Source organism: Homo sapiens, chromosome 18 (genome assembly GCF_000001405.40).
Source record: "Homo sapiens chromosome 18, GRCh38.p14 Primary Assembly".
Taxonomy (NCBI): Eukaryota; Metazoa; Chordata; class Mammalia; order Primates; family Hominidae; genus Homo; species Homo sapiens.
In genome coordinates this window covers 53,176,511-53,202,521 of record NC_000018.10, presented here as the reverse complement: position 1 = coordinate 53,202,521, position 26,011 = coordinate 53,176,511, and the positions used below count along the sequence as shown (strand labels likewise).

Below are 26,011 nucleotides of genomic sequence, written 5' to 3'. Positions count from 1 at the left end.
CAAAATAATGATTTTTTTTCCTATTCCAGCATTCCTTTCTCTACATTTACTTGTTGACACTTAGCATTTGACTATAAGCAAAAGTCCATATTTTTCTCTTTTGTGAATCTTTTATTTCAATGGGCACATGGATTCCTTTTTATAATCTATAATTCATTATTGTCCTTAATTATACTGGTGTTCAAATTTACCCAGATTCAACTAGGGAAGCTCTTTTTAATCGTTTTTCTCTGTCCCTGTGACATGCCCCATTGTTTATTGGAGTACCTCTTTTCTTTTTGGCATAATATGTTCCAGGCTCATCTTGATCTTGCCTCAGCTCTAGAAAAAGACATTCCTTCAAGGTTTTCTGGTTCTTTTAGTGGGGAATGGTATAAAGACAAATATTTGAATCCTAGGTGTATAAGTTGCTACTTGAGTGCATTTGCTTCTAGGTCTTTTTGGTGAACAGAGCTAAGAAACATGTGTGCATGCATACATACGCACACACATATATTTACACAAATGTTTATATACATATACACAGACAGTACATATGTTTCATGACTCCAAAGTAATGCATCCCATTCCAATCCATCTCTACTGGGTTTTGTCTTGCTCTCCTCATTCCTCTTTGATGTGTTATTTCACAGAAAGAACCCTTACTCCTAGAGAGTTGTATTTTCACAGACACTTTATGAGTGTCTCCACTTCAATATTCTTCCAGGAAGAAATACTTTTTCTATGAAAAAGCTCTATGTTCCAAAAAGGAGACTTTAAGAGAAAAAGTTGAACAACGAGGAGTCTTAAAGTGTACAGTGATGCATTAGTATTGTGTTATAACAAAGCAGACATTTCCTTAATGGGAAAAAAATGAAACAAAGCAAACCAAAAATGTGTCCACTAATATTGTTCAAGTGGATGGTCACAGTACTGTATTTTAAAGAAAAAAACATAAATAATTTGTATGCTTATACTATTATTGATATATTCACAAAGACAACGCACATATTTCAAGAGGGGACATTTCTGATTCTGAACCTATTATTCCTCTACAGAAGGCAGAGAAAGGAACGAGAACATTGAGACTGAATGACCTGTTAAGATATATGCCGTATGTGAGGGATCCAGAATTGTGATATGGTGCAGACAGTGCATAAACATGTGGCCCAGTTGATAAGTAAAGTACTCATTGAATGTGTTCCTTCTTGCTCTCTTGTGGCCACATGGAAAGGGTGTTCTTTGTTGTGAACATGGCTCAATCTGGGAGCAGAGATTTGGATTTTAAAATGACCCAACTCCAAGGGCATCACTCCTCCTGTGACTTGTAACACATTCAAAGCAGGTGAGAGCTGAGCCCTAGTTTCCCAAACAGAACCACTCCAGGAGGACTGGGAGATGAGTGGGTATCTGGGGGAAGGGAAAGGGAGGCAGTGTGTGGGAAGTTTCTGCTCATCTCTCCCACTAGAGCACAATGGGGTGATGTGACACAATTCAAATGGACTCCAAGTTTCAAGGGGCAAAGGAGAAGAAAATGCACCTTATCTGATCCACCACATGCATAGTAGGTGGCAAATTTGCTGAGAAGGAAGGAGTGTGAGGTGTGCCCATATCACTCAGAGTTTTCTGAGGTTCCAAGTGTGGCACGGAAGAGAAGCTGCAAATGAACTGTTCATCCAGAGTGAAACCTATGAGAATATGGAAGAGCAATCTGAGAGAGCTACTTAGCAATGTAGGGGCTGTGTATGGTCTGGAGCGGGAGGTCATGCACAGCCTTACCTGACCATGACTCTGAGAATCATTGAGGCTTGGAAACTTCTGGGAAACAGATATGACAACCACACACACACTTCCGTCAGGCATCATGGGGGAAAATAGACTATAGGAATATCTGCAGCTCAAAGCAGTATCCCCATAAGAACAAACATGAGGCCACACTCCTCTCCTGCTAAGCCTAGCCAGGGCTGCTCAGTGTCCTGGTTCTTTGTCCCAGGAGAACGGCCAGTACACACTCCATTGAGTTGTGCAAGTAATTGCAGCAACTGTCTTTTCCACAAGGATATGCACAATGTTGCTACATAGAAGGGACTCATTAAATGTCAGCCAAATGAGTGATTTTATATACAGTTACAAATGTTACCATAAATCACAGGCCTAAGGCACTTTATGTAGTCTAACCCATTTGATTTTGTTGATTCATCATTGTTACTAAAAGGGATCAGAAAAGAGTGTTTTCTTCACACATCTGGTATGAACTAAAATCGGTACATGTGTCTATGTGTTTGGTGTGCATGTGAGCCTGTGGGCACTTTTCCCCATCTGATAATTTCTTTATATCTACGTAGCTTAATTACTATTGGCGGGGAAATATCAGGCAGTAAGTACCATAATTTGCACTCAGTTTACACTGGTACTGCCAATCCCAATACCCTGGGCATCAACTGCACTCTTCTGGATCATTTACTTTAAGTATTCACAACAACAGGATGCGTTTTTATCAATTGCCAGCCAAATGAGAACATTCGATTTGTTGGTGTAAAGTTTCCAACTGCCTTTTTGTTTCCTGAGAAATGACTGCCCTTTGGTACTAAATTGTTTTCTACTTCAACTCTTTCGTTGTAAAATTTATTTTATGATCTGATTTTCAAATTATTCTCATATGTTAAAATAAAAATTTCATAATTGTATGATTTGAATAAATATGAATATCAAAATATACATATATTTCATATATAAAATATCAGTGCTCTGAAATAGACCAAAATAGTGCTTGCTTGTTAGATATGTGTTTACTGCATTCCTGGCTAGTGTCGAGGCTCTGTGTTTCACTTGAGCTATTAAATGCTTACTCATCTTCACAAAAATGCCAGAAATTCAAATTCATTATTTCCCTAATATTTTCCCTTTGATTTATAGGTCATATATATATATATATGTTCTTACATATATATGAAGAATATATTATTTACATTAATTATGAAGATATGTATAGGTATGCATGTACATATATATACTTATACATTTATTCAGCTCCATATCCATAAAGTATATTTTAGTATAATTTACATACTTTTACATATGTGATACATTACATGCACATGAGCTGCAAGAGAAAATGAAATAAAGGGAGACTCAAAAATGTTCAACAATGAGGCTGGATGCAGTGGCTTATGCCTGTAATCCCAGCACTTTGGGAGGCCGAGGTGGGAGGATCATTTGAGGCCAGGAGTTCAAGACCAGCCTGGCCAACAAGATGATACTCCATCTCTACTAAGAATACAAAAATTAGCCAGGCGTGGTGGTGGGCACCTGTAATCCCAGCTACTCAGGAGGCAAAGGCAGGATAATCCCTTGATCCCTGATCCCTTGAACCCCAGAGGCAGAGGTTATATTGAGGCAAGATTGTGCCGCTGCACTCCAGCCTGGGTGACAAAGCTAGACTCCATCTCAAAAAAAAAAAAAAGAAAAAGAAAAAAAATTTTTAACAATGGGAATTAGATGTGAAATCAATACCGTTAACAGCTTCAGCCTTCCATTTCATTACATTTTAGTATGTCAGTCAAGGAACTTAATGGGCTTAACTGCTCATCATTTCGAAGATGTCTTTAATATTCCTCACTGATCCCCTCAGTTGGACAATAATTTTGTGGCAAACTGCTTCTAATTTCTCCCCATCTCCATTCAAGTTACCTATTTCTTCAAAGAATGGAAAGATTTCAGAATAGATGCATAATCTATGCAAGTAACTCATCAATCAATGTCAGCCTATCCAACTACCTTTTTTAAATTTCAATATTTCATTACAGTGGAAATTCATTATAACACCTGTATCTCAGAACAAATTAAGTACTTATGTTGGAGTAAATGAGATGTATTACATGTCACTATTTGCACTGGGAACAGTAATTTCTGACTATATATAAAAATTTATAGTATAACAGAGCACTTTATAATGAGATCTTATTGGATATTAAACCCAATAAACGGCATATAAAAGTTAGCCGAATCTTTAACAAAGCATGATTGATTACATATAATCATATTGAAGACAGGGTGTGCATGTGTGTGTCTGTATGTGTGTGTGTGTGAGAGAGAGAGAGAGAGAGAGAGCTGCTCAGTTTAATGATTTATAATTGATTAATTATAGATGACAGGATGTGTGGTTTTTTATCCCTACTCTACCTATGATAGAAACCTGTCATTAGCATCAAAGATTCCATGAACAAGCCCCTGAAATTATCTGCACATTAAAAGTTGTAATATGTATATTTTTTGAGGAGTAGGGTTCTTAGCTTCTATCATTGTATCTGAGCTTCTACCATTTCTATCCCCCAAATTTTAGCTGCCAATGGATTAGCTATCTCTGGTTTCTTTTGGTTGTGAAAATCAGTGATTCTTTATCATCAAATCATTCATAGTGATTGTTAATTACTTTATAACAGGAAAACATAATTTCACTTTAAAGAGCTATCTTCAACTTTTAATCAAATGCTACTGTTTCAAAGCTAAAATGTGTTTGTGAAATAGACTTCTATTTTATTTTCCAAATCATCGGTATTTCAAAGACATTTGAATTCATCTGCTTTAATTCACCAAATATTTTAGGTTTTATAGGATGTTGGGGCTCCTGATAATCAAGAAGTCACATAGCATATATGAATTAATACACTTTTTATCTTTTCTTTCTCTTACTCTGTTTTCATTCAACTATCTAAACATCTGCCTTCCTGTCTTCCCTTTACTGTAAGAAATTTGATATTTGCAATAATCAGAACAAAACCTAAATTATGATTTTTCATATATGTTTCTTTAAAAATCTTGGGAACTTAATTAATCCTTTTCAAAAAAGAATCTGAATATGAGGTTTTCAAAGAAAAAGCTTTAGAAGGATCAAGGCATGCCACTATCTTCCTAATACTGAACGAGGCTGATGTCTCCGAGCCATTATACTGATGTTTCTCAGCTGGAAGTCCAAAATGAAGATAAATGTTAGTGTCAGGGAATATGTAGTTGAACATTTGAATATTTAAAGTCTTTTTTAAATGACTGTGTAGTACAATGAGTTCTACTGTTCCAAAATCATCAATTTAACAGCCACTGTTAAAAAAAAAAAAAAAAAAAAACTAAAATAAAAGTGGATTTGAAGAAAAACTGTCACGTGTTGTCATTGCAGTAATGACCTATATATAATTCACATAGCCTGAATTCAGGTCAGAATTCTGTGGCTGATTCTATCCCTTTATTAGTTTGCTAATTTAAAAATGATTCTTGAGCCTATATTTAAAAATGAATAGCAAAGGACCTAAGTAATCATCTGTAGTGATCCAAATGGATTTAGACCACAAAGCTCTCTCCCTTTAAGCAGCAGCTTCCATTGCTGATGATCTGCTTAGTGAACGTGTTTCAAATGCAAGCCATTTCTGAAACTACTTACATTTATTGATAATAAAGTATATGCTTTGATTGCCTCTTTGATTTTTTTTCTCCTGTAGTTAACAGCTTTAATGATATTTCTATGAAATCTGTTTCTATTCTGTATGGGGAATGCAACATCAAAAAGCCTGCAGGCAATGTAATTATTAACATAATGAAACCTCTCCTTGACTGAACTGTACATAGTTAGGAGATAAGACAGTAATTTGGCTAGGAAGAAGCACAAACTATAGGGTAGATTTCTATTACAAAACCACAGGAGTCTGGCAACATTTGGTTGGAGGAAGCAGTTATTACCTGCTCATTTTACCTTTAGTTTTAATATTTTCTATCTGCTAACACACAATATTCTAAACTGCGCCATTACGTATGTGTGTATAAATATATATAGAACGGATGCAGATATGGATAAACACACACATATATAATGTGTGATATAGATGATGGATGTAATCTATATATTACCTTTGTACACACATATGTATATGCTTAGATATTAATGAATATTTTTGACAGCTTAATAGAAAAAAACTTCAGTGACTCCCTGTGAAGAAAATAATCTTCAAAGCAGATTTCTTGTAATTCAACCTAGAACTGGAAACAGTTGGATAATAAAGGGATTACAAGAATTGACCTCCAGATAAGGTCTTTCAGGAAGACAGCTCAGATTTTTCACTAACACAACCAAGTAGTAATAACCTTGTGAAGTATGTAGAATATGTTTTTAATGTAGAGCTTTTTGAATTTTACTTTGGAAAACATAAGCAATGCTTAGTAATGCAAATTGTAGTGAACAACGAAGATTCTGGACTGCATGGTGGAAGTCTCAAATTGTTTCAAGTGCTGATTTCTAAGTAATGTCAAATGCAACTGTTTTTGTGATCTACAAAAACTACCTACACACACCAAACGGAAGATAAAAACTTAAAGTTTCACCCAAATGTGCTTAGGTTTACATATTAAATGTTACATGTACACATTACTGACAGCTTGATGTCATATACACCTAATCACACTGACTTAAAAATAATTCCACGGTAGCCTGGGTCTCATTACTCCCCATTGTGATTGAAATGTTTAGATAAAAGTACCACGTGATTTTAAAGTCTAATAATAATTTCTATGTGTTCAGCATACAGTGCTTTCTCTAGAACTATGAACTTTTATTAGAAATTTTCAAGGAACTTAGGAAGGACAAAATGCACAGAAAACACCTAGAAATGAACAATATATCATATATAATCAAGGCTAAAAATTATCTGGACAACCAAACATATAGGAATTCCAGAAATAGATCTATTGATGAGATACATAGGAATCTGGGATGATAACGGAGGGCTTAGTTAAGAACATTTCTTGAAGAACAATTAAGAATTGCATAGATGGATGAATGAAGGATGAATCCGACGAGACAGGACACATCAGGAGGAATGGGTTGAATGGGTAACATACTTGACATGAGCCTTTCCAGAACAGAACTTACAAGTTGGGAAATGGAGACAAAAACGACCCTATACCTCGTGGAAGGCTTCAGATATGAGGTTTTCAAGTAAAAACAATGAGAATAATTCCAAGATGAACTAAATTAATGATCGCACATTTCATCTCGTATTGAGGAAACCACATTTTTCCCCAAAGCATGGAATTACCATTAAGTTGTTTTCCTAATAACCACCATCAACAAATCAAATAATGTTTTGCCAATCTCAGAAAAATGTAGTCTCTTTCATGAGACTCAAAGAAAGTTAAAAAATCATCCATTTTTCTCAAGATGCTTGTCTCAGAAAATTCAGTTTAGGTACAAGTATTCACAGAACTCTAATTTTCAAATGAATTGTCAAGGCCTTTTGACAAAATCACATAGAAAAGTCAGAAACTATCTCTAAGATAACTAGTGCTTTTTTAAAAAACATTTCAGGTAGGATTGAAACATCTTAGTTTTGATTCCTGAGTCAAAAAACCCCTTCTCCTACTTGATATTAGTGTATCCTTGGGCCAAGTATTAAATACTCAGAGCATCATTTTCTCAGGTATTCATTATTTCTGTATCGCAGAGCTAGCATAAGGATTATATGAGATTATATGAAAAAGCAAGTGTTCAATATAATATGTTAGTTAATATTGTTACCTGAAATCAAGACCCTGAAGCTTTTTCAAATATTGGTTACCTCATTAGACAATTGGAGGAAGAAGTATTTAATCTTCTTAACTGTCAGTATTGTTAGAAGAACATGAAGAGATTATGTATGCAAAGGGTAGATGGAAAACATAGCATTCCATAGATGCCTAAAAGGATGTGGCCCAAGTTCTGACCAAGATTATGCTTAAAAACCAAACCTGGGCCGGGCGTGGTGGCTCACACCTGTAATCCCAGCACTTTGGGAGGCCAAGGTGAGTGGATCACCTGAGGTCAGGAATTCAAGACCAGCCTGGGCAACAGGGTGAAACCCTGTCTCTACTAAAAATACAAAAATTAGCTGGGTGCAGTGGCACGTGCCTGTAATCTCAGCTACTTGGGAGGCTGAGGCAGGAGAATCGCTTGAGCCCAGGAGGCGAAGGTTGCAGTGAGCCAAGATTGTGCCATTGCACACTCCAGCCTGGGCAACAGAGCAAGACTCCATCTAAAAAAAAAACAAACAACAACAAAAACAACAACAACAAAAAACCACCACCACCAAACCTGGCCAACAGAGTCCCTGATAGAAAAGCCAGGATGATCCAGACATGTGACATCACCGATATAAATGGAGCCTTTTAACCTCCTCATAAATAATCCACATCGAGTTTCATTTGTTGTTATATCTCCATACTCTACAAACCATAAATTGATGTTTAATTCTTTAGAAGACTCCCAAGCAGAAACCTTCAGAAAGGGCATTCACTGGCTTCTTGCTTACTTCACATTGATTTGAGCCTGTATATATCTCAAGATTGTATTTCTGCATGCAAAAATCTCAGTTCTCTATAAATAGATATGCACCAGAGGCAGGTGTCTTCAGCTTATGCACAACTCAGAGTGTTTCCCATGGTGATAATGTGACTAAACCCAGCAACCTTTCTCAAAATTGGCTTGTATTATGGTCAATATGGGAACAATCAATATCTGATGTTTGTAGTTTTAATAGAGCAATAAATGACAGGTATAGATTGCTTTTATAAAAAAGCCCTGCTGTCATTTATTAGAGGAAAAGGAAGCAAGTAATCTTTTTTCAGACAGTCAAGTGAGCAGATTTTTCTACATAATGAAAAAAAGATCCTACCTTAAAAGATACCATCTCTTCGGGGAATCAATTTATTGTTTATCTATTTCAAGGCTTTAAAAGATAAGGAACTGCCTTGAGTAAACTGGCTCTTTTGGGAGGGAATATAAATTAAAGAAGAAATTTAGCACTCTATTCTCCTAACACGTAGGTTTCACGGAAGTCAGAGTTCCGGGATGCTTTGATGCCCAAGATGCCAGCAAATCCCATCTATTACATCTTGGGTAACAGAGACCAGCAGTAAAGGGTATACCCTCCAGAATCAGAGATTTAGGGTTCAAATCCAGAAGACTCACTCAAGCTATGTGGCTAGGATCAAGCTATTTAATGTCTTTGTGTTTAAATTTCCTTATTTAAAAAAAAATGGGCAGTGCTTACCAGATAAGTTTGTTGTGAAGATTAATAATAAATAATATATGAATTATATCTGGCAAAAAGGAAATGCTCAATGAATGTTAACTATTTTTACAGTGTTCCAGGCACTGCGGGGATTTGAGGGGAAAGAGTGAACACTTCCATAGAACTCACAGTCTAATATGGCAGGACCCTAAGGTGCAGGGAGGAGAGGAGTCCAAATGAGGTGAGAAAAATTCTCGGGGGCAGGTCCATGCCAGGCCTTAAAAGCCTTGGGAGGATGTGGATCTTTTATTCTAAAAATCAGAAAGAAATTCCCATTTTAAGCATTTTTCACTTTGTCTACTGTACACAGACAGTGAATTGAAGGGGCACAGATGAGTGTTGAGATATCAATTGGTAGAATATTCCATAGTCCAGAAGAGAGAGGAAAACAGCTTGAATTAGAATAATGGCTGGCCATGGAGATGAAAAGAAGGGCAGGGATTTAAGAGCTATAGGGACGGTAAAATCAACAGGACTTGGATTGGTGGTAAGAGAGTGAAGTTGATGGAAGCATCAGGAATGACTCCTGCAATACAGATTTGCATAGCTAGGTGATTCTGGTGTTGTTCACTGAGAAAGGAAACACTGGAATAGACTAAACTGGGCATGCGTGTAGGTGGAGACGTGTGGGTGAGTGAATTCACAGGTTTGCCACCACACTGGCTTTGAGGCAGTTCACTGTATACAGAGATGTCCAGCTGGTTATTCATTCCTGTATGAACACTCATAACCTAACATCTTCCCCTATCTTCTCTTCTTTTAATTTATAAGCTCCCAGTTAGATAATTTCACACCCTACTTCTATTAATGGGCACATCACAAACTATTTTCTTCTTTATTTCTTCTTCAATTTTCTGCTTTTTCTATTGATTGATAGTCAGCTGCTTTTCAGGAAGACCAGCTAGTCTCCAGATCTCGTGATCATCTGTTTGCTCTGTTTCCCACCTAGCTTAACTCCTCCAAACTTACACCTTGATCTTTTTTTAGGGACTCAAAATAATTTCCCTAATTAACAGACCAGACTGTGCTACAGTACTTTTTTTCTGAGCAATGTATATGTACATTGAGGAATTTTTCTCACTCTTTCTCCATACTTGAAAAAATGAGCCCAAGATAAAATATCTTTCCCAATAGCAGCAACAATAAAAATTCCAGTAACAATGAACCCAGGTACACATCTGACCTTGACAATACTGAAATTAATATTCACTTTGCGATTTCGCTGACATTTATCACTGAGAAGCACCTTTAACGCCCTTCCACATACATGCATGCAATGGAAAGATTGATAATCACACAGGGCAGAAAACCTAGTTTTCCTGTATCTCTAAGAAGCATCTCAAAGGCTTCTGGTCGGCTGACTGAACCACCCTGAGGATTAAGTTTATTTTATTTTCAGTATTCAAAAGATAAGAAGTTTATTAACCACATGGAAGGTTTGGGCTTGTTCAGAGATAGCAGCAGGAAGACAAATAGACTTCAGCAGTAAATCGTCTCACAGAAGCTGGAGAATGACTTTAGGTAAAACTGAATACGGGAACCCTGGTGTGCTGCTCTGGATCAACAATTCCCCTTTCTCTAGCCAACCCCACTTTTGCTTTTATTTCTATTGGTGACACAAAGTGCCAGATCAACAGGAAAAAAAAAATGACTGACTCATGCTCAAGAGCTGTTATCATGCTGAGTAAACACTGAGTAAAATAAGGAAAACAGTTAACTATGAATGTTATTTAGATAACTTTTAGAAACAGTTATTTGAGAAGAGTTAAATTTAACCACTGTATTTTGGTAACTCGAAAACTCAATTTAATTTCAGATTGTCAACCTTCTTGACTTCCTTTTGACTGGACATAAGACACAAGCAATATACATATAAGCAATCACTGTCCAATATGAATATAAGCTACAAATACATGTAATTTAAATTTTCTAGTAGGCACATTGAAAGTAAAAATAAGTGAAATTAGTTGTAATACTACAAAATTAAATATTTTTAAGAAGATTGGCAAAAATACTATAAAAATATGAGGTTATAAAGAAAATACAAAACATATTATATCCAAAGTGATAAAAATTAATCAAGCTGTTTAATTTAAACACTCTGTGGCATAAATAAAAATGTAAGTGATATGTTAAATTTATTATTATATTGTTTTTGCTCTTAAATAATATGTTAGATAATGAACCATACCATCAAAATTAACATCTACTCATTTCTGGGAGTCCTCAACATTTTTGTGAAGAGCTTATACTGAACTACAAGCCAATTAACCCCTCTGAAGAATAGAAGTAGTAATCATTATTTTTTATTTCACTGCAAGGCCATAGGAGAGGGCTTTGAATCAAGAAATTCAACTGAGAGTTAAAATCAAATAGGTGATTTATAGCAGATAGTAGAAATTATGTGCCTAGCATGGTCGTTGGCATGACGGTTAGTATAATTCATCCAGGCTGGCTTAATCTCACCAAAGCTGAGATTTTTTGTTTGTTTGTTTGTTTGTTTCTTAAGACGGAGTCCGCTCTGTCTCCCAGGCAAGAGTGCAGTGACGCGATCTCGGCTCACTGCAAGCTCCGCCTCCCAGGTTCACGCCATTCTCCTGCCTTGGCCTCCCCAGTAGCCGGGACTACAGGCGCCCGCCACCATGCTAGGCTAGTTTTTTGTATTTTTAGTAGAGAAGGGGTTTCACCGTGTTAGCCAGGATAGTCTCCATCTCCTGACCTCGTGATCCACCCGCCTCAGCCTCCCAAAGTGCTGGGATTACAGGCGTGAACCACTACGCCCTGCTGAGATTTTAAAAATATTATGTTGTCACTGCTATGTTTTCTGAACTAATTTTTATCAATGGTGAATTAATAAGAATTTTAACTCATTAAAGAACTGTTATCAAAAGGTAATTAATGTTTGATCATTTTTCCTGAAACGATCATGGCTAATCTTAGTTTGTGTACACACACACACACACACACACACACACACACACACACACACACAGAGTTAGCAGTGTAGTAGGAATATTATGCTAGGTTCAAACTCTGGCTCTGACACTATTAGTTTTTTTGCATTTAATTTTGTCATATCTAATGTAGGAGTTGGGTTGGGCCAGAATTCTTGCTTACAGGATATTTTACAGGTCAAAGTATTGCTATTCTTCTGAAGTTGAAAGATTTTAAGGTGATGGCACACAATTACTGTTTCAGGCCACAGGTGTTAAAAATCAGAGTCCTGGCCAGACATGTCGGCTCATGCCTGTAATCCCAGCACTTTGAGAGGCTGAGGTGGGTGGATCACCTGAGGACGGGAGTTCAAGACCTGCCTGACCAACATGGAGAAACCTGGTGTCTGCTAAATATACAAAATTAGCCGGGCGTGGTGGCGCATGCCTGTAATCCCAGCTACTCGGGAGGCTGAGGCAGGAGAATCACTTGAACCTGGGAGGTGGAGGTTACAGTAAGCCAGGATCGTGCCATTGCACTCCAGCCTGGTCAACAAGAGTGAAACTCCGTCTCAAAATAAAATAAAATAAAAATCAGAGTCCTGTTGTTGGCATCAGTGTCTGGAAGAAAACCAGGGGTTTTTATCAACTGAAGGTCAAACAGTAGAAATCCAAGCATGTGGTCAATGTCTGTAACAGATCTCACAGGCACCTTCAGCAAAATCTGTTATTTGGCTAACTTCATTCACTTATTAGTTTCCTTCAGGCCACCTAAGCAGTTTGCAGTCCTTAATATTCAGAAAGTGCTATGTCCTACAACTTACAAGGCAGGGTTAGAATTCTGAAGAGATGAAGAAGGTAAGAGCATAGCAAATATGATTTTAAGGACACTAGGGATGTCTGTTAATACCAACATTTCTACTTTGCTTGAGAGGCAGTGACTGAAATGGTTTTTAAAATGAAAAATATAGCTTGCTAATTAATGTATGTATATACCTGTATAGACATACACTTTAATTTTCTATATGTATACATATATGCTATATGTACATATACAATTATATATATATACACTATATATGGAAAAGTTTATATATATATAAAATTGTGTTGGCATTGCTATGTTTTAAGCTGCCTGTGAAAACTTACTAACATTGACCACAGGTTTGGATTTCTACTGTTTGACCTTCAATTGATAAAATCCCTAAAATGTTTTTCTTCCAGACACTAATGCCAATATCTGGACTCTGATTTTAACAGCTATGACCTGAATATATATACACACACATATATACATATACACATATCTACACATATACACATATATACACACACACATATATATACATGCACATAAATACATACAAACATAATATATACTTCATAGTTTGCTCAGTCCTCCAACAGATGACATTGAATCGTACTAAGAATCTGTAAGAATTCTTACTAAGATTCACAGGGCAGTATATCGGGTTGAATAGTACTCCAAAAATTCATGTACACCCAGAACCTCAGAATGTGACCTTATTTGATGACATATCTTTGCAGATATAATTAGTTAAGACAAGGTTATACTGGATTTTGGTGCATTCCAAGTATATTATAAGAAGAGAAGAGGACTCACAGAGACACAGAGAGGAGAAGGCCATGTGGAGATGCAGGCAGAGACTGAAATTATGCAGCTACCAGCCAAGGAATGCCAAGGATTGCCAGAAGCCACCAGAAGCTAGGAAGAGGCAAGGAAGGATTTTTCTGAAGCATTTTCAGAGGAAATATAGCCCTACTGACACCTCGATTTCGGACTTCTAGGCTCCAGAAAGGTCAGAAAATACATTTTGTTGTTTGGAGACACCAAGTTTGTGGCACTTTGTTAAGGTAGCCCTAGATAAATAATGCAACACCCAAATGGGTTAACAAGTTCACTTACTTATTTCTAAGGGAGACATTTGAAAAATCAATGAAATTGAGGTAAATTGTGTAAGATCAGTTAGCAGTGTTCCTTAATGAGGCTTTTCTAGTGCCCCTTCATATTATCCCAAAACAAGCAGTATGATCCTTATTTTATAAAAATTTGAGAATCAGACCAGGTAACTGACTTCCCCAAAAACAAACAGCAGAATACAGATAAATCTCAGTCTAGAACACAGATCTTTTGCTTATTTTTTAAAGTGATATTTCCATTTCAGGAAGAGAAACTGCCATTATTGTAAGCCCATTGTTTAGGATAAGCATGCCTGTACTTAGGAATCTAGACATAGGCCTTGGGCTCTCACTAATGCACTGACGTATTCTATGGCTAGCCTTAAAAGCTCTGGTCCCCAGGTTTATTGGTTGCACATTTCAATGGTTGGAATCTACTATCTTAAAGTGTTGATGGATTTAAAATTATGTTTCAGGGCACCGGGAAATGTGTCAGACTCTGGGTACCCAGAGTTATAATTTATAACACCAATTATAGGTTTAAATAAGAGGACAATGTACAAGTTACTAGCACTGACCATGGGCTTAGAGTTCCATTGCTTGACTTTCAATTGATACAAATCTGTGGTCATTTCCTTCCAGAAATGAGTGACACCATCTCAGCTTTGACTTTAACAGCTACAATTAGAAGCAGTAATTGCTTGTCATAGGCTTAAAATCTTTCTATTTTAACTCATGGTAATCTCCGCTCCCTGCAGAATAGCCTGTAATCAGAAATTCTGTCCCAACTCAACTCCTCATTGCATGGGATCTTGGGTTCCCCAAGGAGGAAAGATTGGGCAATTAAAGTAACATAATGTAAGAACATTGGAGTTAAAGAAAAATAGCTAAAGTCATATTATTGACTTTTTATGTAACATGTAAAATTCACCATATATTACAGCAGGCAGAATATAACCTGCAGTTAAAAGAATCCATAAAATAGTACAGTAATTTAAAAGGGAGTTTTACTTAATTTTGGTGGAGTGTTAGATCAGATAATTTCTAAAATATACTAAAATATTTTATACTAAAAGGCAATATGGTTTGTGCATCAAATTATATCTGCGTTAGATTATGCATTAATTACACAATGAAACTTTGTAACACTAACTTTAGGTTAAAAAAAGGAAATAGAGCCAGGCACGGTGGTTCACTCCTGTAATCCCAGCACTTTGGGGGGCCGAGGCAGACAGATAATGAGGTCAGGAGTTCAAGACCAGTCTGGCCAACATAGTGAAACCCCGTCTCTACTAAAAATACAAAAACTTTGCCAGGTGTGGTGGTGTGAGCCTGTAATCCCAGCCACTTGGGACGTTGAGGCAGGAGAATCACACGAACTCAGGACGTGGAGGTTGCAGTGAGCTGAGATCACACCACTGCACTCCAACCTGGGCAAGAGTGCAAGATTCCATCTCAAAAAAAAAAAGAAAAAAAAAAGAGAGAAAGTAAATTTGATTCCACTTCTTTGAATGTTTGTGTCCCCTCCAAAATTTCATGTTGAAATTTAAACCCCAATGCAAATATTATAATAATCTTTTAAAAGATGATTAGGCCATGAGGGCTCTACCCTCATGAAGAGATTAGTCCTTATAAGAGGGCTAGAGGGAACAGCTAGCTCCTCTTTTTTGTCCTACCACTTCTTCCACCATGTGAGGACACACCGTTCATACCCTCTGGAAGATGCAGCAACAAAGCCTCATCTTGGAAGCAGAGACCAGCCCTCACTAGACACCACACCTGCTTAATCTCAGACTTCTCAGTCTCCAGAACCATGAGCAATACATTTCTATCCTTTATAAATTACAGTGTCAGGTGTTTTGTTATAACAGCAGAAACAGACAAAGAAAGAAACTTCTGCCCTTATTTTATTTTCTATCCCAAGCATGTTATAAAAGGCTGGATACATAGTTGGTGCTCAGTAAATACTTATGAACTGCATAGAAAAATATGCTCTAAAGATGAGGGAGTGCTTCAATACACATGTGATTAAAATGCCTTATTCCTTTCTATCTTTACCCTTTCTCAGTGGTGTTCATCAGCTCTCCATCAAAGCGGTTGCCTAAAGCAGCTCAGCTCATGTCCTTGGAGTAGAGTTTCATTCAGCTGCACCAGCATGACGACAATATCCCCGAAGATGTTCATGCTGGCTTTTGCTCTAATTCAGCTTAGCAAACCAACCGCTTTCACGTTTAGTAGGGCATATAACCAAACTAGGCGATTAAACCCAAATCAGATCTACTTAGGGAACCTCTTTCTCCTAGACTAGTTGACCGTGCTGCCTGAAAACCAATAATTATTATGACACTTTCTTATCCCCTTTCCTACACTCCCTTATGTCTATCTATGAGAAGTTAGCTTTCTTTCTATGCAATTTCTCATGAAGCAGATAAATTTTCTAGATGTTTGGTTATACCAACTGAAGAAGCCTGAATCGTACTGTGTGCTCAAAAGAAAAGAGAAAATAAGAGAGCCAGCAGAAGCTTCTTAGGGAAATTACACTTACGATATACCACTGTTCAACCCAAGCAACTAGTAAGCTATGTCCTTCACTTTCAGTTGAACTTCGGAAGATGCTTATGTATTTTTCCAGGTAATGGATTTTTAATGTGATTAACTAACTTAAGTAAATAAACAGCATATCTTCAGGTCTAGATTCTGTGGCCTTTAAAAAATCATGTCTATTATTTTAGCACATAATTAACTTTTTTGTTTTGAACAAAACTGAACAATTTTGTTCAGGGAGATGAAATCTGTGAAAGCTGTTTTTAGTGAATTCTATTTAAAGTTGTTTCCACTAGACTACCAGTTCCTTGAAAGTTAGGACCATTTCTGACTTGCATTTGTATCCTCGTTTACCAGCATAGTGCCTAGACTGCCACTGTCTGAGAGAACTTTCTGAAATAATGGAAATGTTCTCTGTGATCTCCAATACAGTAGCCAGTAATCATATATGAATTCGTGAGATGTGGCTCACAAGAGAGATAAGTTGAATTTTTGGTTTTTAATTTTATTTAAATTTTAAGTGCTACTAAGAAGTTGGAATAGGGCTATTGTGACTGACAAACTGAATTTTAAATTTTATTTTATTTCAATACTTTTAAATTTAAATAGACCAATGTGGCTTGTGGTTACTGTACTGGAAACTGTAGTTCTAGAACTTAGCACAAAATAAATATTTTTAAATGAATGAAGAAAGAACACAGTGACTCACATTTGCTTTGAAGTCTTCTAGAGGTGATTAAACAACCCATCATCTCAAGCCCACCTGTAATCCTTCCACTAATATATGTCATTATCAAAGACATCATACCTAGCCTAATTGACCATTAAATCTAAATGAATTCCTTAAGCCTTTGGTCACAGAGGATACTAAACCATAAATTTTTAACGTTCCCCATCTCTTATTTATAACACCTGAAAACATTTTTTTACATCCAGAGACTTTTAAAATAATGTATTTGTATGCTACCAAAAAAGATGTAATGCCAGTGCTTATCTTTACTTCTTTCCATTATTTATGTCTGGCCATGTACGGGATCAGACAACTGAATTGTTGTCGAGTGGACAGGTTTGCCATAGTGGTCACCCCAAATATTTATTCAAATCTCAGTGCAGTGCAGTTAATCATTGTAAATCAAGTGACAAAAGTAATGAGCTAGACAGAGCTGTGATCAACTTAGTTTGCTTAATTTATGTAACCATACTTTAATAAATATAACTGATATTTTGTATCTTTCCCAAACCATATTCTACCAGCATCAACCAACCAATGACAGCCAAGTGTCACATAACAATGTTTTGATCAGCAACAGCCCAGATATACCAAGGTGGTCCCATAAGAATATAATGAAGTTGAAAAATTTCTATCGCCTAGTGACATCTTGCTATCATATCATTCTAATGCAATGCATTACCTTTTCTATGTTTAGACATGCTCAGATGTACAAACATATACCACTGTGTTATAATTGCCTGCAGTATTCAGTACCGTCACATGCTATACAGGTTTGCAGCCTAGGAGCAATAGGCTATACCATATAGCCTAGGTGTATAGTAGACTATACCATATAGCCTAGGTGTGTAGTAGACTATACCATAGAGCCTAGGTGTGTAGTAGGCTCTACCTTCTAGGTGTGTAAGACACTATTATGTTCTCAGAAAAATGAAACAATTAATGATGCATTTCTTGGAATGTATTTCCTTCCTTAAGTGACACATGGCTTTATTTATAAAATGGCAATGCTGTGATACATCTTACGGGATAATGTAGCACTTTCTGTTCATAAGACTTCAAAATTTAGACAAGGCAATCTATAACAGCCTGCCAAATGCTAAGGAGAGGTTAATTAGGGAGAAAGTAGCAGAGTATGTAAATGTGCTGACTGTATAGTGATCAAGCTAGTTCTAAACTATAAATGAGGTATTATATTAGCCTTATTTACCCAAGTGATTACCCTGATGAGTATCCCACTTTGTTTGTAAATGTAGAGCAGTTGAAATTATGTTCTTATTTGATCCCGTTGGATCAGGGAGTTTTTTTTTTTTTTTTTTTTAAATGAGATGCCAGGCAAGACCCAGTGGCTGCCCACGTGTTATCATATTTCATTTTTGCAACTTAGGAAGAAGAGGAATAAATGATACTCCCGTTTATAGTTCAGGAAACTGAGGTCTCGATGATTGACAAACTTGCTCTAGGATACAGGTAGTAATGTTCAGAGACATTATTTGAACTTCTCTGTTCTTTTCCTAACAACCATACAAGTAGAGCCATATTAGAATTTTTAAAATCTCATGAAGGAGGAAAGAAGCAAATATGGCTATTCCTCTAGATAATATATTCTAAAGTCACTCAAATTGGTGGGTTGCTTTCACTCATCTTTTTAGTGTAAAGAATATAATAGACTAAGAATATTACTTACAACTCTTAAATCTAAAAGAGTTTTGTAGGTAATTGAGTTGTGGTCTTGCAAATAGGCTTCCCATTCTAACTCAAGCCCTCAAGCCAGTATGTGGTCCATTTTAACATCCTTTATGATTAAACCGCCTTAACAGGATCTTAAAGGACTGCAAATAATAATTCAAAAAATCTCCACATGTGGTATGAAAAGATTAGACAAGTCTTAAGCAGACAGGGACTTAAATCCTGGCTGATAATATGGTAGAGAAATTACATACCATAAAGGCAGGGGAGAATGGGCAAGGGTTTAGCAAAGGAAGATACCATCAGAGGACACAAACCTTCATATAAATCAAGCCTTTCTATTTCGAGCAATTATTTCATAAACTGGATCTTGGGCTGTCGATCTCTTTAAATGATTACTACAAAATGTATGCACTTTTAGAAACAGTTGCTGGCTGATTTATATTTCAGACATATTTTCCATCAGTTTTATTCTTTGCAAATATGGTTTGTATAATAGAGTTGATATTTTCAAATAATATGAAAAACTTGAAATTCAATTTGTATACAAGCTATGTAATTTTAGTGTACAATTACTACATCACATTTGGAAAACATTGATAAAAGCAGCAACCAAATGCATACTCAGCTGAGACCCATTTTCAAAAGATAAGATCATTTTGTCAGAAAAGAAATATTGATGAAAACGTTTTCTTTAACCTGATCTTGCCACTAAATTCTGATAGTCTAGCGAAGTCATAAAACCAGCCCTCGCATTTTCTCTTAAGGACAGAAAGATGGGCTTATAACAAAGAGGGAAGGATGGCGGGAAGGAGGAAGGGAGGAAGGAATGGGAAAGGAAAGGAAAGGAACCATAGGATCTCTGGTATATTCCATCTTCTTCAGTAATTGGGTGTCTTATTGAGCAGGCTTGGAGAAGATGAAGTAAGTGCTCCTTATCCTAGAAATACTTTCAAATTGCCAAAATGGCATTTTATGTTACCAACAGAAGATAAAATACACATGCAATGCCTATCACTCATGATAATATAATTTATTTATTCTAATGTCCGTAAGAAAGACGGCAAGTGAGTTTAGTAGTACTCAATATACATGAATTGAAGCAATTGGCTAACTCTCTTGCACATGTAAAGGATATTCTGAATGTCTTGTTTATGCAGGCTACTTTATTCCTAACTACTTATCTACTCAGTAAGGGAGGAATTATCCAGTGGCAATGTTCAGTGAAACAGAATCAAATCATAGTGCAAATAAACAATGATCTGCAAAGGTATCCTTATTCCATATACTGGTAAGAAAATGGGTAATTTAATAGAACAATGCTGTTACTAAAGGCCAAAATATGGTTAGCATTCTAAGGCTGTTATTGCTGCCATTAATGAAAAAGATTCATGGCTGCATCATGTTTCTAAAGCAGAGAGATTCTTCATTTTCATTTCTTAGAGAATAGAATTTATATGTGACAACAATACCAACAATCAGCATGTTTTATTCAGTTAGGCTTTTGTTATTTTATGCCTTATCATTTACGCTAATTGTTAAGCAAAGTAAATGCTTATAGAGACTTGGGTCCAGTGAGGTGCTCTGCACAAATTTTTCACACTGCTTTCTGAATGGGAAGGAATGTGTGATATATAAAGCATAGACATGGCTGTCATTGTAACTGGATTACAAGACTGATTTGAGGAGGTGGATGCAGTATGATCTGGGCATAAGAAATTAACTAGGTAATATGCTGCAGCCATCACAGGTCATGGGCCCACGAGCAAATCTGTGACTCAGATTGTTTGTATTCCATTTACCAACTTCTTATAAGTTCCCCTACTCGAGTTGTTTTGTTATTGTTACATATTTAAAATACCTGCTTCCCCCCAAATCTGCTGAGATCCATAAATACTGCTGCTTTATTACTCACATATGCTTTTCTAACATGCCTCATGCAGCCTGGAACAGTGTTAGGAACATAATAAATGTTTATTAAACATACTTATGAATTATGTCATTGTTTGTGTTTTACAAAGTTAAGGCCATATGTGTGATACAAAAAAATCATTATTCTTTTTAACTTAATTATATTAAAATAGCAGAATATATTGTATCATTTTATCATAGTTTTTATTTTTTTTAATTTTTATGGAATGAGTGTTCTTAGCCAGTGTCAAAAACGAAAATACTTTACTGTCCCTTGGCTTGGGAACGTTGGTGTTAAAAAAAAAAAAAAAAGAAGTAAAATTTTAAAACACTGAAAATTGCTTTCTTAAGTTGAATGCTTAGAAACAATAGTATTGATCAAGGGGAAAAAAAATGCTCATTCTTACAAAGCAAGGCTAACCAACCAGGATTTTTATCAGAAATGCAATGTAATCATGACTAGTCAGCTCTGAAAAGTACAGTATAACAATTTTACGATAATTTTAGAACTAGGAGATGAAAAATTCAGATAATCCATGGAGATTTGATCTTTTGAAAATGAGCATGCTTTTAAAGCTAGTTCCAATACTGGAAAATTTATCAAGGATTTCTTTAAGGAATTTTTCAAGAGTTTTTAAATTGTTGACCTATCTATCACATGAGATATACCATATATAGTGTGTGTGTATTATATATATGTAAAACCTAATTTGCTTTTAATCAAAAATATAAAATAGTCATAAAAGTTATTGATTTTACATAGATGATCTATGAAGAGAAAGTCAATAAAGCAATTGAGACTCAAATGTTGGGCTGGGCGCGATGGCTCCTGCCTGTAATCCTAGCACATTGGGAGGCCGAGGCAGGGGGATCACTTGAGGTCAGGAGTTCGAGACCAGCCTGGCCAAAATGGTGAAAGCTCGTCTCTACTAAAAATACAAAAATTAGCTGGGAATCGCTTGAACCTTGGAGGCGGAGGTTGCAATGAGCCGCGATTGTGCCACTGCACTCCAGTCTGGGCAAGAGAGTGAGACTCCGTCCCAAAAATAAAAAAAGAAGATTGAAATGTTATGTTAATATAGACATTATGAAGAGGAAATTGGCATTGTTTAGTGATTTAAATCAGTACAGCAACAAAACATTGCCCAGAACAGAAACCTGGGAGCAGGACCAGCTCATAGGCAGCAAAGGGTGAAGTTGTGCAAGGACTCACGTTCTGCTGTAGCCATCCCATAATCTTAATAATTTTTAACAATGTGCCCCTGTGTTTTTATTTTGCAAACAGAAATTATTTGGGTCCTACAAATTATTATTATGCCTGGGGGCCTGCATTTCCAAATAATTGTCTGGAACCTCAACATGACTATGCTTTTGAAGTTGTTGAGGTTTTTATTTCTGTGAGGCAAATATTTGTAGTACTTGCACAACTTAGCCCTCTTCCGTCCCTTCAATTAATACTTTATTCCAATTTGTTATCATCTTGTCTCTGTAGCCCTGGCCAAATGAAAGAAAGGATGGAGATTCTGTGGAAAGTGCACTCAGACTGTATCTCCTGCTCTCTCTTCTTCGACTTGCTGATTTAAACCACCCAAGAAGTGATAGAATACAAAGGTTACTCTCTCACAATTACCAGTTAAAATATTTCCAATCTCTACTTCACCTTATTCCCAAAATACAAGAGGTGATTTTGATATACCTCTTTACAGTTTCACGTAAAATGAACAGGAAATCAAAATATCATTACAAATTTTGTTATATAAAAAGGAAACAGGTACAGTTAGGTGTTTAACATAAGGCAGCTTGTTAACAAGTAGCCATGCATTTCATTTTGATTTTAAATTCCAATCGTTTTTTAATGCGAAACAAAACAAATTTGGCGAATGACTCATCAGCAACTAATCTTTTCAAAAAACATTAGAAATGCACAAGAAAAAACAAAATTTTGTCAAGTACAGAAATAGTTTTCGATATGTAATTCTGGAGCTCTTCCTTTATCAAAGTTGAAATCATTGAATTATACATTGGTCAAAGAACATTCAGCTGCTCTACTTTGTGAAAAAAAAACATAGCTGAATCTAGTGATTCAAGGTAGAGGGAGTGAGATTATCCAATAGAGGTTATCTCTCATATTCCTCAAATCTCAATTTGCTTTTAGTAGGTTTTTCAGTGCATGCGGTGCGTGTTCAAGCTTTTAAATTAGTCCCTGGATTTAGAAATTGTATGTTATTGTTCTTTTACCTTTGATGTTACACTCTTTACAAACTCAAAAAATCTGAAAATTCAACAGAGGAGGCTGAAACTCAATGATGAGGATAAAATACTGTCAGGAAGAGTAAATCACTTTCTTAGGAAATGAATAAGTAGACTGCATAGATAGATTAGGCCTTTATAGAGGTTAATTTGCCATTACGGTATGTGGCCTAAGTGAAGAGGCCATTCTATTTACAAGTTATCTTTTAAAAGTCCTCGAGTTATATAAGTTTACTTAGAAGAAAAAAAACTCTTCTTCGCTTTTGTCACTTCGCAAAGGTTCTGTGAAAGAATTCAAGGATATTGCAGAGGAAAATAAATACTTTTTAAATGTGGCCCGTTCCTTTTCATACTCACACTCAGGCTGTGTGGCCACCTTGATGGGTTGAGAACTCTCTCCCGGTCCCCATTCATTGTAAGCCACAACTCGAAAGGTGTACATGGCTTCTGGCTTCAGGTTTCCCACAGTGAGCTGAAGGGACCCAGGCTGTGTTGTATTCAATGCTCGTTCCCTGAGAAATCAAAGTTGCAGAGAAAGATTATTCCAAAAAGAATACCTTCAGCCAAAATCTGTATTTGATGTGCAAGAGTAGTGAGGTGAACCAAAAGGTTGCTCACTCATCTAATGTTGACTCTGGGACATAATTCAAGACCTCAGACTTTCTATAGAAAATAAACTAATTGGAAGGACCTACAAATAAATGTTGCAAGGATTCTGGGGAGTTTAAGATTATGTCATTTTCCATGAAACTTGCAAACGAAAGTCTTTTTCCTCGACACTTTACAATTTGGAATTCAAAACCCATGAAAAACAAGGAGCTATTAAAATAAGGAGAAACATCTGGAATGTAGACAGGAAGACGAGTTTTGTAAACATCCGGCTAATGACAGAAATCAAGGTTTCAATTATTCCACAAATCGGTCTTTGTCAGTATTGCCAACAAATGCATTTATGCATTTTCTCTCATTGTATGAAAGGAAAACGCAGATGCTTAGTGTTCTATGTATGGAGCCTGAGTCCCTGTGGTTACTTTAAGTGCAATTAGTGAAAGGAAGTAGATTCCTTCCTGCGTGAAGAGAAACTGTAACATATGCCTGTTTGTCTTGCTCTTCAAGCCACATCTCTATGTGTTCAATATCAATACATTTATAAACTAAAAACTTCCTCAGTGTTGCAAACTAATGAATTAATCTACTGATCATGGTTGCATTTATAGTGCGTATTAAGAGATGACAAACCGTTTGGATATGGATGCTGACATTTTAGAAATGGTAACTATTGAAATATTCTTTAAGGACACACATAATTCTACACCTTCTGAACATTCTAGATATCCTCATTGGAACTTAACATATAGCTGATTGAACTGAGTGAAGAAGGCACTTCCTCTAAGATTCTCAATTGTTTCTCAAGGTTTCTATATCTAGATAATATCTCTTGCTTCTCAGTGGAATTATACGTACACTTTAATTTTGCCATTCAGATATGTTTTGGTTTTGGACATATTTAAAATAAAATATCTTTTTCTGCCAGGGAAAATTAGATTTTCAAAAAGTAAAAGTTCTAAGTGCATGAATGATGATGATTCCTGGGCATATCTACACTCTTAATATGACTGATGGCAGAGACTGGCTCGCTTATCCTCAAACCCGAAATTTCTGCTTCATGTACTAGACCGTATTTTCCGGCTTCCCTGAAGTCTAGTTGAGGCCTTGTGACTGAGTCTCATCAAGAGGTTGAGTGTATGTGATGTGATGTGTGCTGATTCCAGGCCTGGCCTAAAATAAACTGCACATGGGTAATTCACCATGTTCTCTTCTTCCACCTGTTGTCTTGAGGTAGGGAAGCATGATGACCTTAGAAGCCATATGGGTGATGATGGAACAATCAACATTTGTAATAATTCTAGAGAAGAGCTGGGAAAAGAACTGACAATCAGTAACATCCCTTCCATACCTTATAGAGTCAGAAATAGTTCTGAGCCATTATATATTTTAGGGCTTATTTGTTATACGGGTTACCATCATTTTAACTAGCACTGCTAGTATTTAAAATATGCACCCTGAGTGGCTGCCAGGAGCTAAGTGATGGGAGAATGGGACGTTAGTGTTTAATAAGTAAATAATTTTTTTCTTTTTTTTTATTATACTTTAAGTTTTAGGGTACATGTGCACATTGTGCAGGTTAGTTACATATGTATACATGTGCCATGCTGGTGCACTGCACCCACTAACTCGTCATCTAGCATTAGGTATATCTCCCAGTGCTATCCCTCCCCCGCTCCCCCCACCCCACAACAGTCCCCAGAGTGTGATATTCCCCTTCCTGTGTCCATGTGATCTCATTGTTCAATTCCCACCTATGAGTGAGAATATGCGGTGTTTGGTTTTTTGTTCTTGCGATAGTTTACTGAGAATGATGATTGCCAATTTCATCCATGTCCCTACAAAGGACATGAACTCATCATTTTTTATGGCCGCATAGTATTCCATGGTGTATATGTGCCACATTTTCTTAATCCAGTCTATCATTGTTGGACATTTGGGTTGGTTCCAAGTCTTTGCTATTGTGAATAATGCCGCAATAAACATACGTGTGCATGTGTCTTTATAGCAGAATGATTTATAGTCCTTTGGGTATATACCCAGTAATGGGATGGCTGGGTCAAATGGTATTTCCAGTTCTAGATCCCTGAGGAATCGCCACACTGACTTCCACAATGGTTGAACTAGTTTACAGTCCCAGCAACAGTGTAAAAGTGTTCCTATTTCTCCACATCCTCTCCAGCACCTGTTGTTTCCTGACTTTTTAGTGATTGCCATTCTAACTGGTGTGAGATGGTATCTCATTGTGGTTTTGATTTGCATTTCCCTGATGACCAGTGATGATGAGCATTTTTTCATGTGTTTTTTGGCTGCATAAATGTCTTCTTTTGAGAAGTGTCTGTTCATGTCCTTTGCCC

The 26,011-nt window shown here is 36.5% G+C and overlaps 1 protein-coding gene across 5 annotated transcripts in view; it reads right to left on the bottom strand.

Annotated features, from left to right (window-relative positions):
• The window catches only part of DCC (DCC netrin 1 receptor), a 1,195,703-nt gene that overhangs the window by 333,378 nt on the left and 836,314 nt on the right, over positions 1–26,011 (bottom strand). For all 5 annotated transcript variants that reach the window (NM_005215.4, XM_017025568.2, XM_017025569.2 and 2 more), the window contains one exon: positions 23,406–23,560. In NM_005215.4, coding sequence (NP_005206.2) covers positions 23,406–23,560 — 155 coding nt within the window. The remainder of the gene's footprint in view (positions 1–23,405; positions 23,561–26,011) is intronic.